The sequence below is a fragment of the Homo sapiens genome, chromosome 10 (genome assembly GCF_000001405.40).
Source record: "Homo sapiens chromosome 10, GRCh38.p14 Primary Assembly".
Lineage (NCBI taxonomy): Eukaryota > Metazoa > Chordata > Mammalia > Primates > Hominidae > Homo > Homo sapiens.
In genome coordinates, this window is record NC_000010.11 from 31,328,784 (window position 1) to 31,348,587 (window position 19,804).

General features: G+C 34.5%; 1 protein-coding gene across 53 annotated transcripts in view, besides 1 other annotated feature; it reads left to right on the top strand.

The window, feature by feature from the left end:
- Nucleotides 1–19,804, top strand: part of ZEB1 (zinc finger E-box binding homeobox 1) — a 211,388-nt gene that overhangs the window by 10,367 nt on the left and 181,217 nt on the right. The gene's annotated exons all lie outside the window — the stretch shown is intronic.
- Nucleotides 12,880–13,019: an enhancer, noted in NCBI's record as "active region_3236". NCBI's record gives its function as "activates an Ori minimal core promoter by ATAC-STARR-seq in GM12878 lymphoblastoid cells {active_cell/tissue: GM12878}" and the evidence as "EXISTENCE:reporter gene assay evidence [ECO:0000049][PMID:35858748]".

A 19,804-nucleotide genomic window follows, 5' to 3' on the forward strand; every position in this document is an offset into this window, starting at 1 on the left:
TCCCATTGTTATTCTGTTACATAAATCAAAGAACTCAAGTCCAAGGAATAAAAGCTGTGCATTCTATATTTGAATAGTCTAAGCAACATGGAGTCTGCACCTTCTCATATATCCATTTGGCTGGGAATGTATTTAAGAAGATGGCTGTCTTACTGTGTTCCTATGGTATAGATCAGGACTATTCTAAGCCAAAAGTTAAAACCATACCCTGGTGTGTGTGTGTGTGTGTGCGTGTGAACTTAATTGAGGTATAATTTATATACAATAAGATATACCACTATGCATGTACATTTTGATAGAGTTTTGACATACTTGCATACATGTGTAACTGCTACCACAGTCAAGATGTAATAGAACATTATTTCCATCATCCTAAAGAGTTCTTGTGTACTTAATCTCAGCCAATCTTCCCCACCTATTGCCCCCTAGCAATGATCTGCTTTTGGTCACTAGAGGTTAGATTTAATGTTTCTAGAGTTTCATATAAACCGAATCATGCAGTATGTCCTTTCTGTGCACCTTCTTTTGCACAGGATATTATCAAAATTAATAAGTATCAGTAGCTCATTCCTTTTGTATTGCTGAGTAGTATTCCATTGTATGAATGTTATATCACCAAATACACAATTTGTGTCGCCATTCACCTGCAGTGGAACTATTAACTTGGGTTGTTTCTGGTTCTTTGCTCTAATGAATAAAGCTACTGTGAACATTTACATAAAATTTATATGCATATATATCTTACATTTTTCTTGAGTCAATACTTAAGAGTACAGTTATAGTACAGGTAACTGTACTTCTAAGTACATATAGTAAGTATATGTTTAACTTGGTAAGAAGCTGCAAAATTGCAAACTGCTTGTAACAAACATTTTTACATTTCCACCAGCCATGTATGAGAGTTCTGGTTGTTCCACATCCTTGCAAACAATTGTCCATGTTTTTAATTTTAACCATTCTAGTAGATGAGTGGTAGTATCATTTTGGTTTTGATTGGATTTCACCGGTGACTAATGATGTTTGAAGATCTTTTGGTGTATGTATTGGCCACTTGTATATTTTCCTTTGTGAACTGTCTGTTCAAATAATTTGTCCATTTTTAATTGGATTGTTTGTCTTTTTATTATTCAGTTGTAAGAGTTCTTTGTATATTCTGGACCAAAATTTTTTGTTGGATACAAGTATTAAAGATATTTCTCTCTTTCTGTTGGCTTATCAGTTTTCTTAATGGTACCATTGAAGTGCCAAAGCTTTAAATTTTGATGGAGTTTAATTCATAATTTTATTCATTTAAGCTTTGTGTCCTTTCTGAGAAATCTTTGCCTATTCCAGATCTTCAGGATTTCTCCCATGTATTTTTAGAAGCTTATAGCTTTACCATTTAGGTCTGTAATCCATTTCAGGTTAATGTTTGGTCTTAACTCACCAGAATTTGGCATAAGAATTTTTATTTGAAATTTTTAAAAATGTTTCTCAGGGCCCAACTAATACCCAAAGCTCAGGATTATAGAGGAACACAAGTCCTACTTCCCTGGTTTTGAACATTTTTAACTGAGAGTGAGTACATTGTGCCTAGTTGGGGTTTTCAAGGTTCTTCATGTCCTTGACACATTTTAATTCACTGAAATATACTTTATTGAGGATACAGTTTCAGAGAAAGATGCCTAAGGAGAGTGGCCCTAGTTAGGGGAATGCGAGTGTTGTCTTCAAGGTTTCTTATTTCCTACAAGGTTTTAAGGAATTTAGCACTATACCAATTCATTTTCATGTTCCGTAGCTTTTATCTTTAGATGGGGAGTTTGTTTAAACCTAACATTTATCTTGAGTTTTTAAGGGATGTAGTTTTCTCCTTGAGATAAATGCTTGATCTTACTGATTTTTGGCTACATATTTTACCTCCTCACTTTGTTATAGCTAAAGAAAAAGTTTTTAGTTACTTTTAACTTTGATAAGTTGATTACAGATGGGTTTATTATATTTATTTCTTTCATTTCTTAGAAAATATAGATGTTACTTATTCCTATGTAATTCTTATTTTAAGATAGTTTTTTAACTTTTCTGTTTTATTTTATCACCTATTCCTATTCCTTGAAAATTCGTTATAAGTAACCTGTGCCTTATTTTTGTTTTTACAGATCTCGCTTTTTAATACTCCTTTTAGCTCTGTGTCTGTCTTGAACGTTCTGTATATTAATGCATAATTCCTTCTGAGCTGGTATCCTTAGGTGCATTTATAGAAAAAGCATTGAACTGGGAAGGAGTCTTAAATTTCATTTTCTTTTCTTTTTTCTTTCTTTCTTTTTTTTTTTTTTTTTTTTTTTTTTGAGACGGAGTCTTGCTGTGTTGCCCAGGCTGGAATGCAGTGGCATCTCGGTTCACTGCAACCTCCGCCTCCTGGGTTCAAGTGATTCTCCTGCCTCAACCTCCTGAGTAGCTGGGATTACAGGCGCGTGCCACCATGCCCGACTAATTTTTTGTATTTTTAGTAGAGATGGGGTTTCACCGTGTTAGCCAGGATGGTCTCCATCTCCTGACATCGTGATCTGCCTGCCTCAGCCTCCCAAAGTGCTGGGATTACAGGCGTGAGCCACCACGCCTGGCCCGAAGTGTTAAATTCTAATATTGAATCTGCCATTATTTGGCCTCTGAAATTGAGAAAATAATTCCATTTATCTGGGCCTATGTTTGTTCATCTGTGGGATGAATATGATGGATTATTGTATGCAAGGTAATGAGACCCTGAAGATGAGAGATGTAGTACCTTGCCCTAAGGAGATTATAGTGTGGTAGGGAAGAAAAATGAGGAAAGAAACCTTTAGAATACAGTTTGGTAACTGATGTGATATTCTGTCTTATATGCATAGAGGGGATGGTGCTTAAACCAAGTCTTAAAGTATGTGTGTGGGTTATCCTAGTAAAATATCCTAGTGGAAAATAATATTCCATACAGGGGGAATATTATGTGCAAAGGCATAACACACATGCACACACATATTGTGGGACTCAAGTCACGTTTGGTAAAACTGTAGGGTGAGCGGAAGAATGGCTAGAGATGAGGCTGGAGAATTGGATAGTAAGCAAATGAAGAAAAAATGCTTTATATTGCTTTCCTGAATTTAGATTTTATCTTGGACATGATGGGAAATTACCACAGGTCTTGAAGCAAAGAGTGACATGATTACATTTATATACAGTAATTTATAATATTATGTTTCTTTATATACTCAGTGTTAATATGATTAAAAATTTAAGAATATATATGCTTGCTTTACTAAAAGTGAAAAAAGTTGTAAAACCTGATGTATCCTGCTTTCCTGAGTTTTTGCTTATCTATTCTGATAATACTAATAGATTTGCATAGTAATTGCTTCGAAATGGTGCTGCCACTACCACTTCTACCACCACCATAAATTAGTAGAAGACTTACGCTACTAGAAGCATAAGCAGCCTTACGTTATAGTGGCTGGTATCTGTGCACCAAGTTTGGCTGTGCATTTCTAGTCCCTGCACTGTTAGGGGGAATTGTATATTTTTTTTTCCTTTTCTCAAATCAGTAAATCAGTGCAAACAAATGTGTTGTGGATTTACAAACCTATGGAATAAAATGTTTTTACTTCTATCAATTATGGCTCTCCAAAGACATAAAATACTCTTCATTCACTATTACTAGTTAATTTTCTAGATTATTTCTGGCATTTATTAATGGTTCTGCATAGAGCTCCACCTTGTGAACATGTTATTGTACTTTGATATCAGTTCTGTGTCATAGATATTTAATAAATAAAATAAAACTTTATTTACCTGAATGTTTCTCATTCAGAATAGCTGTAATTCAGGCCTGGTATATGTTTTTATTTGAATAGAAACAGTTCACTGTTTTTTTGGAGGTTATGCTGTATACTACAAGATAGATTAAAACCAGTGCCTTTTTTTAGACCAGCTGCTGAGGAAATACCTTTATCATGTTTCAACCTCTTAAGTTTAATAATTCTCATGTAAAAATTAGTGCTTGATTTATGCATCAATTTTCTAAACATTTCACATGTGATCTACTTTGTATATTCAGGGACTTTTGTGTTCTATGTTATTATATAGCGTATTTTTTAACCAAAACTTTAAAAATTAACCTCATTTCATTAGTATTTGTTTATACTTTACTATACCTTGTTTACATGCTTAACCTGCCTATGTATTATCTGTGACAGTAATGAAACTGAATGGTTATAAAATGCTATATAATTTTATCAAGTTAAGCTGACTTTTTTGGTGGGGAACATCATCTTCCTCTTGCTAATAGATAAAGGAGTTTTACTGTACTAATTTCAAAAATGGTATAAAGCAGTAAGGCAGATCTTCACAGCCTATTCTTTGACAGTATATTAAGCATGTGGAGAGGAAAGCAAGGTGTTAGCTATTTTAAGGTTTCACAGCAACACTCCCATCTTGTTCATTTTCACCTGAGTTGTATAGAGCCTGGGAATTGCTATATATCTTTAATGTAAAGTCAGCAGTGCAAGTAACAGTATTGGATCATACTTCCACCATTACATTCTCTGAGTTTCTGATCACCACATTCTCACAGATAAGGAAAATAGTTGTAGATGGATGGTCTGAAATGTAAAAAGGATAAAGAACACAAGAAGTGGTAAATATGTTTAGTTTCAGACAGACATTATATAAAACTTGGGAGGAGGGTAAAATTATTGATTAGCTACGGGTAGGCTTGGTAAGTTTTAACGCATGTTAAAATTTCTAAGATAAGGAATAAAAATCTAGAAGGTATGTGTACCTTACAAACTAGTAGAGAAGGGAAGTAGAACAAGAAACAATATTCAATCTGAAAAAAAGGTAAAGAAGCTGAAGAAAGAAAACATGGAAAAGAGAAGACAAGTAGCACAAAAGTACATAGCAGCAATAAGTGCAAATATATTAGTAATTACAGTGCATATGAGTTGAAAAAATCCTCCACTTAACAGAAACTGGTTATTAGATGGGATAAAATAACAAAATATATTTATATGCTGTTTACAAGCAATACCTTAAAAAGCATATTCTCGCTTGAAAGTAAAAAGGATTTAAAAAGATATTCCTGACACTACTAACCAATAGAAATGTTGTATGGCTATATATATCATGTAAAGTTGACTTTGAGGCAGAAAACCTGTCCGAGAGAGTGAGGGTCACTCAATAGTTATAAAAGGAAGGTATAATTTTAAATAAGTGACTACCTGATAATACACTTTCAAAATACATTAAGCAGAAACTAGGACTGCAGAAGAAATAGGTAAATTTATCATTATTATAGCTTATTTAAAATAATCTCTGTTAATGTGAGAACAAGCAGAAAAAAATTAAGAAAAATATAGATGATTTTAATAACAGGACTTACAAGCCTGCTGTAATGGACACGTATGGAACATTGTATTCCACAACTAAAGTAGAGGAGGAACACTTAGAAAAACTGATCACATTCTGGTCAAATACAGCCAGCTTTAACAAATTTCAGTGGATTGGCATCACATTACACTTTCTGTTTACAATTCCATTAACTTAAATAGAAATTTTGTGTGTGTGTGTTTTGGAAATTAACATGTTTATTTCAAAATAACTTGTGGATCAAAGAAAAACTTGTAATGATAGCAGTAAATTATTGTACACGACAACTTATGTATAGCTAAAATGGGAATTTATAGATTTTAATGCTTATATTATGGGACTAAAGGTTGAGGAATAATAAACATGCAATTTTAAGAATTAGAAAAAAAGCATACTCCCCGATTGAAATAACAGGGGAATAATTAATGAACTAGAGAAAGTAAAAGTAATTCAAAAAGGAAACAATGCAACTAAAAATAGATTATTTGAGAAGAGTAACAAAATTAGCAAACCACTGGCAAGATTAATAGGTGGGGAAAGAAGTCATAAAGCAGTATCTGGAATGAAAATGGGAATGTTACTACAGGTGTTTCATGAATGATCAACTTTATTTTAATGCAGTTGAAAGATTAAGTGGACCAATTCCTAAAAAAAAATGTAGCTCATGCTGGCCCAAGAAGTAATAGAAAATGGAATACCCTTAAAACAAAAAGGAAAAATATTCTTACAAAGAAAAAAATACCAATTCTAGACAGGTTTACTGGCAAATTCTACAAAACATTCAAGGAACAATAATTCCAGTTGTACAGAGAGTATTTCATGGTTTGGAAAAAGAAATGACTGTCCCCAACTTTTTTTTACGAAGCTCTAAGTATAAAAAATGATGATTGTCTTTAACTCAGACCTATGTACAAAAATTCATAGATTAGATATCATCACATGGTAGTACCCCCTTATCCATCTGTAGGTGGTTACCTATGCTCAATCACAGTCCGAAAATATTAAATGGAAAATTCAAGAAATAAAAATTCATATGTTTTAAATTGTACGCCCAGGATGTGGATCCTCCCTTTGTCCAGCATATCCACACTGTATATGCTACCTGCCCATTAGTTACCATTGGTAGCCGTCTTGGTCATCAGATAATAAAAAAAAACATAGTATTTATAGGGCTTCCATGCTATCCATGGTTTCAGGCATCCTCAGGGGGTCTTGAAACGTATGCCCTGTTGATAAAGGGGAATTACTGTACTTGACCAATAATGTGTAAGAAAGTAACCCATCATAACCAAGTTGGGTTTACTCTAGAATTTCAAAGTTGGTTTTATATTAGAAAGTCACTTAATAGAATTTACCACATCATCTGTTTAAAGGAAAAGAATCATGTGAGCATCTCAATAGATCCATCTGTGATAAAACTCTTAGCAAGTCAGTAAATGAGAAGGCCCCTTTCTTAACCTGATAAAGGCATTTTTTTCCAAAGAAAATTTCCAGCCCTACCTTCTTTCCACTTCATGGTAAAGTATTGAAGGCATTGGTTCCCTTTGATATCAAAGGACAAGTGTGCCTGCTAATGCCACTTTTAGTCAACATTGTACTAGAAGTATAGCTAGTACAGTAAACAAACAAAGATACAATGATTAGAAAGAAAAAGCTATTATTATTTGCAGATTATATGATTATCTGTGTAACCCAGAAAAATTCACAGATGAATTACTCAAAGTTTAAATTTGGATGCAGAATTATTATACAAATTCAATTATTTTTCAGACTTTTTGCTGGCATAGAAATGCAATTAAGAGGTAGCATTATATCATCATAAAAGTATAAAACACTGTGAGTAAATCTAACAACGTGCTCAATATCTTTATGGAGAAATTATGAAACATTGGCAGACATAAAGATCTAATTAAATAGCATAATGTACCATGTTTATAAAAGGAGACTTGAACATTGTAATGGTGCCATTTCTCCCCAATTTTATCTGTAAGTTCTGTGCCATCTGATCAAAATATTGACAGGTTTTTGTTGAATTTGACACGCTAATCCAAAAACTTACATGGAAGAACTAAGAGATAATAGCAAGATACTCATTCATGAAATGGATCTGTGATGGCACTGGGATTGCCAATGAGTGAAATAGGATGACCCTTTCAATAATTGGGGTTGTTGGTTAATTAAATGGAAAAAATTGGGGTTGGACTGCTGCCTCACACTATTTAGAGAAACCAGTGGAAGGATTATAGATCTAAATCTGTAGGTAAGGTAAAGGTATAGGTAAAGTAAAATGGTAACACTTTATAAAGATGATAGGCTAGAATATCTCTATGACTTTGAGTAAAGATAAAAAGGCATAAAACACAGAGCAAAAGATTGGCAAATATGACTACATCAAAATTAAGAATTTTGTTTCACTAATAGATACTGTAGAGTGCCTAATCCCGTATTTAGCACATATCAAAATCTACCACCCAGGGAAATAAAGATGAACAATCTGATAGAAAACTGGGCTTGAATAGGCACTTCACAAAAGAATAAACTCGTTTGGCCAAGGAGTGTATTATAAGATATTCAACCTCATTAGGAATCAGGGAAATGCAAATTAAAACCACGTTAAGAAGGCATTTCATGTCTCCTAGATTCTCAAAACTTAGAAGCCAGCTAATACTGCTGTTGGTATAGACATGGAACAACTGAACACTTAGGCGTTGCAGATGCTAATGTAAGTAGGTACATTCACTTTGGGAAATAATTTCACATTATTAAAGTTGAAGATACACATAACACTATGACCCAGTATTCCTATGTCTTAGAGAAATCTCTATACAGACATACCAGGTAATGTATGTAGTTGTTTATACAGTACTGATCACAATAACAAAACAAAAAAATAAATAATAGGATAAGTAAATTGTAGTATATTTATACAATGGAATGCAACACAATACTGAAAAATGAATGAATTACACCTGTGCTTAACAACTTGGATCATCCTAGGAAAATAATGTTCGAACAAAACAAATCACTGAAGAATATAGTGTGATTCCATTTATATAGAATCAAAGAACACGCAAAATTAAGTAATATATTGTTTAAGGATACCAATACACATAATACAAGTCTATGATAAACATAAAATTTAGGAATGAGTGAATTTGGACACAGAGTAGATATCACAGGTCAGGATAATGTGTGTTTAAAAAAAAACGATGGTGGAACTCAGATATTTATTGTATTACTTATTATACCTTAAATTTATTTTATAGAATTCTTTAATGTTTGATATTAATAATTACTGATAGTAATTTATGGCTACTGATAATCAACATTTAATCTAAAATAGTAACTGAAAAAATAAAAGTGAATGATTTTTGGGGGAACTCAGTATTTGCCATGTATTTCCTATGTACGTATGTTTAATTTTTGTGAGTTCTCAAATGTAATCAATTTCTTTTGAGTATCTTTAGTATTTTATACTATCTTTGTATTTAATATAGCAGATAAAGCTTAATAATTTCTTTCTGTTTTTTTTTTTTTTTTTTTTTTGATGGAGTCTTGCTGTGTCTCCCAGGCTGGAGTGCAATGGCGCAATCTCGGCTCACTGCTGCCTCCGTCTCCCCGGTCAAGCGATTCTCCTGCCTCAGCCTCCCCAGTAGCTGGGATTACAGGCACCCACCACCACGCTGGCTAATTTGTGTATTTTTAGTAGAGACAGGGTTTCACCATCTTGGCCAGGCAGGTCTTGAACTCCTGACCCTCATGATCCACCTGCCTTGGCCTCCCATAGTGTTGGGATTACAGGCATGAGACACCGCGCCCGGCCTAAGCATAATAATTTCTAACCCTGGTTGTGTGATACTCCAAAATGTATTCATTTATTTTTAGGGGTATAGGCATTTTTAATTCTTTTATATTTTTGTAGTCACTAAATTTACTTGGCTTCTACCTTTACATATTTTCTGTTTATTGACCACCTTTTAGGAAGTTTGAGAAAGGTATTACCTTATTATATTTTTTTCTAACTTAAAATATGTGTGTTACTATTGCACTTGTGGATATAACATTTCATTTTAGAATATTTACATTTTATTTTGTTTATCAAACAATAGCATTTTTGTATCAGGCACTATTCTCAATATCGTTAAAATATTAATTTATTTAGTATTCATTGCAACCCTATGAGAAAGATCCTGCTATCTTTGATAGGTAAAGGGAAACTGAGGCACGGAAAGTGTTGGGTAAGGTCACTTAGCTAGTAAGTGGAGCCTGTGTTCAAACCTAGGCAGTCTGGTTCCACAGTCTGTGCACTTAACCACTAAGCTGTAAGAGACCATATGAAGTAGATCTCTAAGAGGAGTATGTCATCTATTTCAATGTTCTTTAATAAACAGGGTACTATTTTTGAGCGGTGCCAGCATATTGTCAGATTATGATGAAATAATTATATTATTCCCTTTGTTTGATCTGAGAATGTAAAAAGCAATACTGGTAAATTACACACTGCTGGACATTGCTTAGATTTACTCTTCAATGAATTTTGTGTCCGTACGTTCATGAGATGAGAAAAATAGATAGGCAAAAGTACCTGTTAGTCTGATTGCAGATCTACCCGTAATGCACAAATGGTGATAGTGTACTTTCTTCTTCCAAAGGTGGGTTAATGGAGTCATGATTTAAAATAAGAGTTTAACAGTAGCGTGTATAAATTTGATATTTATACATCATAAATGATGTATAAATCATTTATGGGAGAGTGATATTTGATTCAGGGATGTTGACATGATACCTTTGGGAAATTCTCATAGTAAAATAGAGTTAGACTGTCAACAGGGAAAATTCTAAGTAATTTGTGAAGAAACTAGTAGTAGTAGTCTAAAGTGAGGCACCAGGCAAAGAGAGAAGAATCAGACAAATCCTTTAGAGTAATAGTTCTTTACCCATTCAGACCCACACTCCATTTAGAGCATTTACTGTAGAAGTTCTTGAGAGAAGATCTCATCCTGTAGCCATATATGCTCACTATATATATAGATATAAAACATCTCTAAGAATTTCAGCTTCTCTTTGTGCTTTTTGTTAGCTACTTTAAATAGCTTAACTTTCAGTGACACATGGTTTTAACAGGCAAAACACATGACTGTTAATGATTTTTCTTTAGAGCAGAAATGGTTTATATGGCCTAAATTCACTTTTAGAGAATCTTCTGAGAGAGAGTATTTCCTGTCTCTTTGCACATGTGTGGCATATTGTAAGGACTTATTTACTTTTAAATAAAAAGGAAAGCTCTTGCAGTGAAGTAGACATTTATTTTGTTAAGAACCTATATAAGGCCAGGCGCCGTGGCTCACATCTGTAGTCCCAGCACTTTGGGAGGCTGAGGTGGGTGGATCACAAGGTCAGGAGTTCGAGACCAGCCTGACCAATGTGGTGAAACCCCTTCTCTACTAAAAATACAAAAAACTTAGCCAGGTGTGGTGGTGCACACCTGTAATCTCAGCTACTCAGGAGGCTGAGACAGGAGAATCGCTTGAACCGGGGAGGCAGAGGTTGCAGTGAACTGAGATTGCACCACTCACTCCAGCGACAGAGAGAGACTCTGTCTCAAATTAAAAAAAAAAAAAAACCTATATAAAATAGTTTATAGCAGTTTATAGCTGTGACCATCAAGTCAGATAATTTGGGATGTTCACAGAGAGCTCTGGGTGATTATGACAGTGTACCACCCACATCTCTTATTTGTTTTGCTTCATTTCTCTACTAGGGAGAGGAGGTCATATAATATATGGTATTTTTATGTTATTTTAGATAAATCCATATCAACACAGCACAGGAGAACAAATTATACCCCTGGTAGATTTTGGGGTATAAACGTCATGAAATGTTTCTCAGAAAGTGAGAAATATTTCTTGATTGTATCTTTAAAATTAATGCAAAATTGTTATGTTACTCCATAATTTATTTGTGTGCATTACTGTAAGGTTCATGTGTATTCATATTAAATTTTTTCTTTTAAAAATTGGGTTCAATGAATTATCTAGGATGATTGCATTGTTTGTGGCATCAAGTGTTGTTTCTCCCTTTCCATACCAAGCATATCCTGCTTTTGGTACAGGATATATTTTTTTCAGATGTCAAAACACCTAGGGATACATTTTATGAATTACTAACTTACTTTTTTAGGACAGACTTGAAATCATTTAGAGGGTAAACTCTAGCAATATAGAAATCTGTTTTTTGTTGAATGGAGTAGCAGCTAATCTTTAAGACCCATTGATAGCATTTTAGTAGTAGCACTTAACATTCAGAAAAGAAAAACAAATCATCCAGCTTCTGATCTTCAGTTTTATGTAACTTTACAATTTGGTACTTGATGACTTGGTATTGGTATGAGACTGAATAGTGTGATGTTACAAACATGTGATGTTTGCCTACCATGTTCTAGGCACTGTGCCAAGTGCTAGAGATGGAATGGTAGGTAAAGCTGTGGTCTATACTTAGGGAGTTCACAGTCAAATGAAGGATACAGTCACAAAACAGACACTTGTATAAAGCATGGTCACTATAATACAGAGAAATGGAAAGAATGGCCAGAGAAAGCTTACTTGAAAAGATAATGCCTGAACTGAATACTAAAGGGAGGTCAGTGGGAGAGACAAGGAAGGGTAGATATTGATTGTGAGTGCATGAGCATTGAAATGAGAGGGCCCAGGGGAATAGGAAGAGAGGAATAGCCTAAAGGAGAACAGGAGCAAAGGCACATGGGTGAGAAACAACATGGAATGTTCTGGACATACAAGCAGATCTCTGTTGGAAGGAGTATGAGATAAGGGTAAGAGAGTGATTGGAGTTGAGTCTGGAGAGATACGAAACCAAATCATGGAAGCTTTTTAAATGCCATGTTTAGGAGCTTGAACTTCATCTTTTTGTGAGTTGGACAGTCATTGAAGGGTTTTAAGTAGGGGCCCAATTTGATTGTATTCAGGTTGAGTAGAGTACTCTGATAGCTGATGTGAAGGATAAATTTGAAGGGAAAAAGATTGGAGGCAGAGAGGCCATTTGGGAAGTAGTTAGCTTGATAAGAGGTGACGAGGGCTTAAACTGACACTTAATAGAAATGGAGAAGAGGGAGTAGATTTCAGAGTCTGTACTTTTTTTGTTGTTGATAAATAGTAAATTTAGTAGGACTCGATGCTTGGAAATGACCAGTGGGAGAGAAAAAATGGACGAGATTAACTCCAAAGTTTCTAGCTGAGGTGATTCCAGGGATAGCGATGACACCAAACAGAGTGAATATATGAATAATCAGTTGAGGAGACAAACGGAAGTCAGTTTTGGATATTTTGAGTTTAAGATGGTTGTGACATCACTAATGGAGGAAGGCTAACAAGGCAGTTAACCTTTGAACTTGATGCTGTGGGATATAGATGGGGGTCCTGGGCTGGAAATACAGCTTGAAGAGTTCATCAGTTTGCAGGAGGTGATTGAAAGCATAAGACCATCAAGGGAAGGTGTGTGGGCTGAAGAGAAAAAAAGGTCAGAAGACAGGAGCTTGGAGAACAGAAGTGTTTCAGAGTCAAGTAGAGAAAAAGAAGCCCCACAAAGATAAGAAAAGGAACTGAAAAAAATGAAATAATCAGTGGGCCAACCTGAAGATCCAAGCAAGACTAGAAACCACACATTTTTAATGGAACAAATCTATATCGTTGTGATTTCCTTAGAAGCCTTAAATTGGTGGGGGAGATCAGAATGTAACATTAGTCTAGGATTGAGGTTTTACCAGATGGTACAGTAAAAGTTGTGAGTTTAGGGAAACCAAGTTGTTTGAAGTTAGAGCAGTTTAGATGATCAGCTGTGCCAAATATTGCAAATTATGTGCTGTACATTATTCTTTACGTATATTAACTCTTAACCCTCACCACAACCATAGTTGTTACAGAAGATTCTAGAATGTAAGTTCCATAAGAGCAAGGTGGGTATGCTTTGTTGTCTGTGCTATTCTCAGTGCCTGACATACAGAATAGGCTCAAATACTTGTTGAATAAATGAGAGAATATGAGATACATACTATTATTCCCATTTTACAGATATGGAAACCGGGTAAGAAGAGATTAAGTAACTTACATTCACAATTTTTAGTGGTAGAGCCAGTAGGAAAGGAATTGAGCCCAGGATTAGGGAGCTGATGGAAAATAGAGAAATTTTAGGTCTGGAGATCTCTCTGAGGATAGTGGAAATAAAGGCATGAGAGATGTAGAAGGGGAGAAAGTTATCATCAGAGAGTAAAATGGTGGAGGTTATGATTTTTTGAGATAGGGTTGTTCAGTGTTATGACAAAGGGTCAAGTCTTAGCAGTGGAGTAAAGGATGTTTATTATTGAATCTCTGTAGGCGTCGATGTAGATGTTGAAGGCTCCTAAGGTTATACTAGAAGTTTGAATAGAGAGGAACATTATGATACCATCCTCATAAATGAAGTGGTATAATTGGAGATCTATAGATAAGAAGCAGCAGAGAGTGGAATAGATAAGCTTTCTTATTTCAATTCTAGCTTTTTAAACGTAGATTGAGGTTAGATCTGGTTTGCTGAAAAGACAGGAATAAATTGGGCTTGCTGCATATAATTTATTTCCCCCATATGGATAAGCTCGTTGGAAAGCTCCAGAAATATTCAGAATATAAATACAAAAGTTTCAAATTTTACCTGACATGCCAGCTCTACTTAAGGTATGAATTCTAAATCTTGTATCTCTCCCCTGCAAGAAAAGCTACCTCCTCCTTTTTATATAGTAGTAGAACAAAATTTTTGTTTGTGTTTGTGGCAGCACATCTCACCTCTTTGTTTCATAGCTGTTGGGTACACATTCCAAGGACGGTAAAAACAAAATGCACTTGCTCTTCTAAATCTTTAGCCACTGGCTAGTGGATTGCATTTATTCTCAGTTTCCTTGCCGATCCTTTTACCCTTCCCCTCCCCCATTTTTCTTTTTGAATGGTTTTGTTTCATGAAGCTCTTGAGAGCTTTCTATGTTATATTGTGGCACAGGAAAAAGTTTATTCATTTTAGCACTAAACTGTAGTTAACATTTTAAGTTAATCATTTTTAGAATGTTTTGATGAGCAATCCTGTTTCATTTTTAGAGATGATTCAATCTGATATTTCATTTGCTTTTAAAGTCTCTAATTTCTTTTCATCTATTTCCATAGCATTGTAATTTGTATCCTGAACGTTTCTCTTCAGAGAAATATAAAAATCCAGCAATCCATTATAGTATTGTATTAAGCCTAAGATTTCATTATTTATCATACACATTTATTTATTTATTTTTATTTTTTATCATACACATTTAAAGTACGGCCTTTGATTTATAGAATTTTTCATTTTGTGGTTGTGCCTGCTTATCTTTGTTTTTGTGTGTGTATGTCTTTCACAGAAATTAGTATCATTCTGTCATAGCTCTTAGGAAATTCAGAGTTAATCAAATATGTTATAAAATGTGTTTGTATAATGAAAAGGTTGGAGGAGATGATTCTGAAGGTGCCATTTAGAGCAGGTGTGCTATGGTTTGGTGGCTCTCTATTCTCTGCCCGCTTTAAATCTTAGTAGGCAGCAGATGAAATACTACTAAGTGACCTTTGACACAGAACCCATGAATGCTCCAAGTATGATTTCATTTTACCGTGTTCTTTGTAAACTCAAATGCCTGTCAAATCAGATGTGTGTTTCGATGTTTTTACTGAATGCGCCTTGAGGAGGAGACTAAAGCTTGGGGTCAATTTGGCATAATCCCCACGTTTTTCTTTTTCTATTATAGAGGTTTCTTGGGGAAGGGGTGACATTTCTTTCTGAGGAAAAGGTGCAGGCTAAGTGTAGGTGGACTTTCTGTCTTCTCCATACTTTTTCTGACAGCCTCACTGGATCCTGGTGATATCATACATAAATGCAGAGCAGACTAGATGGGTTGCTGGTTGGTATTTTTGGTTACCATTTGATCTGGTGTCTTTGGTTATGTAATAGGCACATTAACTGACAAATTATATTAAGTAAATATATAGCCATGGGCTTTTTAAAATCTCACTTTTTAAAGTCAATAATTAGATTAGATTGTCTCCCAGTAATTAAGTTTTTCATATGTTCATGGATATATGTAGTATATATTAAAAGATTATTTGTGTATTTTTTACATTAATTTGGTAATTTTGACAATTTGTCAACTCAAGTATAAAATACTTACATATAAATATACTTAAATAAGTATTTAAGATTTAATGTCAACTTTACAGTAATGAAATAGAAAATTCTTGAATGTTACTCATTTAAATTTTCTGATTTGAGTTCTGATAATCTGTTAGAAAATTAGTAATATGCTTAGGCTCACTTCAATTTCCCCAGCAGAAACTATTGTATCCTTACTGGTTAGAAGCTGCCAATAGTCATTAATTGTTAAAATATAAGAAGGTTGTAGGGGACCATATGACAAAAGAACTAGTTACCTTTACAGTTTGTTCGCTGTACCTCATACACTTTGTGTTAGAAGAAAAGCTCTATTCAGTGCCTTGAGTGAAAAGATCCTTACCTCCTTTTAGACTCCGATTGTGGGAATTTTCTTGCTATCCTGGACATTTTAACTTGTTCTGGGTTATTTTGAACATATTAAGGTGGACTCCTGGAATAGTTGAGAACTAATTCATGTTTGTTTGTTTTTCTGAATCAGCAGTTTAGTGATTAAAGCTTAAGATTCTTTTAATAGATTTAATGAAAAAGAAATCTTAACTTGAAATTTAAATTAATGAAAAATATTACCAGAGGAGATGTCTGATATTTTGATACGGGAAAATACAGAAAATAAAAACATTTAAAAATTTATCCAGATGTTAATGTTTGACTGGAAGTTTTCTACTGGAAGAATTAGTTTGGATTTTACAATTTGGGAGAGGCAGAAGGGAGTTGGGGAGGTGGTCAAGCCCAAATTAGCATGTTGAATATCCAGATTCACAGACATTTCACTAAACCATTTATGTACTTAGCATTTTTGTTGACTAGTCTTTTCATTTATAGTGCTCTTAAATCACTCCATTTGTCAGTTACTCCATTTACCTGAAGATTAAAGTATACACTGTGATAGAAAAAAATAGATTGGCAGGGGCGGGGGTTGTATTATATAATGTAATAAATCCTATTAAACCTGTTAAAGTAGAAACATTAATTTTACGTTTTAGAATTTTCTTAATGACAGGAAAGTAAACTGGTAACTAAAATTCATTTTGTTCTGTAGGTTTGTGGCATTTTATGTGGGGAATGTAGATGCTAAGTGTTATGAGTTGTCCACCTGTATAAAACTACTTCCCAGAAGCCTTGATGTTCCCATAAAGAGCTAAAGACAAAACCAAATCAACTGCTAACACCTTTTATGGGAGATCAACTTGTGTGGGTTATGAGGCCCACCTTGACTAAGCAGGATATGTAGGTAAACCTGCCCAGTTGGAATTAGTAGCTGATACTCTAAAAGGAGAATGGTGAACAGGAGGCCATTAGCAGAAACAGCCTCATTCATTTATAGAGATCATCTTGTTAAAAGGGAAATCAGCTTCCCTAGATCCCAAGGGGGTATTGAAAATGCTAGGAGAGAGCCTAGAAAACTTTTCTGTGCAGATTGTCAGAAAAAGGTGAAAATATTTTCTTTTACTGTAAAAAGAAAGAAATTCTTTTCCTTCTTCCAAAGATGCCTTACCACCTTTGAAAAAGATTTTTAAAAGTCTCAGAGAAAATGAAATATAGATTCTTAAAGTGGAAAGGGACCTTAAAAATCCATCTGGTCTGGTTCATTTTATAGATAGAACTGAGAACCTCAAAAAGTTATGTAATTTGGCTTACATCACAAGAGCTAGTTTGAAGCAGAAGCTACGATTTTCTTACTGTGTCCAGTTGTTTGGAAGTATGAATAGTCATCATTAAAATGTAGGGAGTTTATAGGGAAGCTTATGACAACTATTAGTTAATTTACAATTTGTTCACTGTAGCTCATCTGCTTTGTTTCAGAAGAAAAATTCTATGTCTTGTGTGGAAAAACTCTTACCTCCCTATGAACAGAACTATAGGAAATTTCTTGCTAACTTGGATGTTTCAGCTACTTCAGGGTTATTTTAAGTAACTGGATAGTTGGTTTTCAGAATTCTAGTTACAGAAACTAGTAAAAGAATATGAGTTGTTGATACGTGGAAACTTTAGACCCAAAATAAAGGTAGGATGATGTGAGTTTAGTGCTTACAAATTTGAATGAAATAGTACCTTTTTGAGGTGTTTTAGTAGTTGCCCTTAATGATTTATTTTAAATTAGATGGCTTTGGGAGTAAAAATACTGCTTTTAGCAAAAAATAAATATAAAATTGAAACTTTTGCACGTAGAGTTTTTTTTTTCTTTTTGAGATAGATAAAGCCATCTAATGTCCTTTTCTATCATGTCTTGATAAGTCAAGAGCAGACCACTTGATGAAGAAAAATGAAATATCATCTAAAATAGAAAAATATCCTGTTAGGAAAAATACCACCGTTTTTTCGCTGCCTTTAGTCTGGTTGTTCTTATTGTGTGAAGGGAACTTAAATCTTGTCAAATTACATACATTGTAAGTCCCATTTCTGTCTTAAAAGTATAACCATGCATGCTCAATTAAGTCAGTTATCGTCTTCAGACTGTACTTTTGCTAATTAAGTCTTTTCCTTGGGGTTAAGATAAGACAAGATTTACAGATTTTTAAGTTTAAGGCCTGTAACTACTGAGGATGGTTTAAAGCTTTGATAAGTGAGATGTGGTGCTTTAAAGGAGGACTTTCCTTTAGTCTCTTAAAAACACTTGGAAGATATTTATTACAGTTTTCCAAAGTAAGATAAAGCTCAGCTTTAATAATGAGGACCTTGAAGTTTTTTTATGTGGTGGGGAGGTGTTAGGAAACTCATTTTTTAACTACCTTCAAGTGATTATCGAGGCAGGTTTTTCTTCCCTATGAGGAAGAAAATGAATTGTGCAATGCCAGTTTAAAGAAACTAAAGCAATGTATTTCTTACATAAAGTAGATCATTCTCTCTCCCTGTGTAACTGCCACCTGTTTAAAATAAGATTCCAGTCTTGCCTCTGTCAGTCTTAATGTGATAGACTCTCACTCAGTGAAGATCTATGGATTTATTTTATTGAAAACATTTGTTTAGCATATATCTGTGTTATTTTAATTTTAATGTTTTTAGAGATGAGGTCTAGCTATTTTGCCCAGGCTGGCCTTGAACTCCTGGGTTCAAGTGATCCTCCTGTTTGGCCTCCTAGGTAGCTGGGACTACAGGCATGAGCCACCATGCCTGGGTAAGATCTAATGATTTATTTGATTGAAAACACTTATTTAGCATACATTCATGTATTTTTGTAACTTGTTGCCTCCTGACAGGTCACTAGACATAGGAAAGTGCCTCTTTTAACACTTTCATAAACCTTTAACATAAACATTTTAAATTTCTTCATTATAGTGGAAATAGCGTCTCCCCTTATTATTGGACATTTTGAAAAATTAAAAAAATTTTAAAACAATTTTTATCATAAATACTAGATGGGAATAATTATATATGAAGCTTGTCTGACAAGTTGGATTTTTATGATAGGATAGAATCCCAGGAGTAGAATTATTGGGCATACCCTTTTAAGCCTCACAGTAAATTATTACTAAAGTGTGTTGCAAAGATTTTATCAGTTGTATAGACTCCCAGATATGAATTCCAGGGCCCTTCAGGGGAATTAGTGGGGACATTTTGCAAAGAGCAACAGATGGTGTCTGGAAACATGTTCTTTAATCTTTGCTGTGCCACATACTAGTTGTAGATATCTGGGTTAGTAACATAGGTTGTGTGGGCCTTACTTTCCTCACCATAACTCAGGTGAATTTTAACTATTCTACTGGCCTTAATTCTCATTCTGTAAAATATGAGTATAATCAAGGAGAATCAGTGCCTATATATTACCAAGTGATTTGTCTGGGAAAAAAGCAGAAGCAGGGAATGTCAGATGTACCTAGAAAAAGGAGCAAGTTAGGGGAAATGCACAAAACATGATTTGCTCTTCTGGTTTTTTTAAGAATAGAGTCTAGGCTGGGTGCAGTGGCTCACACCTGTAATCCCAGCACTTTGGGAGGCTGAGGTGGGTGGATCACTTGAGGTCAGGAGTCTGAGACCAGCCTTGCCAACATAGCGAAACCCCATCTCTACTAAAAATACAAAAATTAGCCGGGTGTGGTGGCGGGCTCCTGTAATCCCAGCTACTCAGGAGGCTGAGACAGGAGAATCACTTGCACCTGGGTGGTGGAGGTTGCAGTGAGCTGAGATTGCACCATTGCATTCCAGCCTGGGTGACAGAGTGAGACTCGGTCTCAAAAAATAAAAAGAAAAAAGAAAA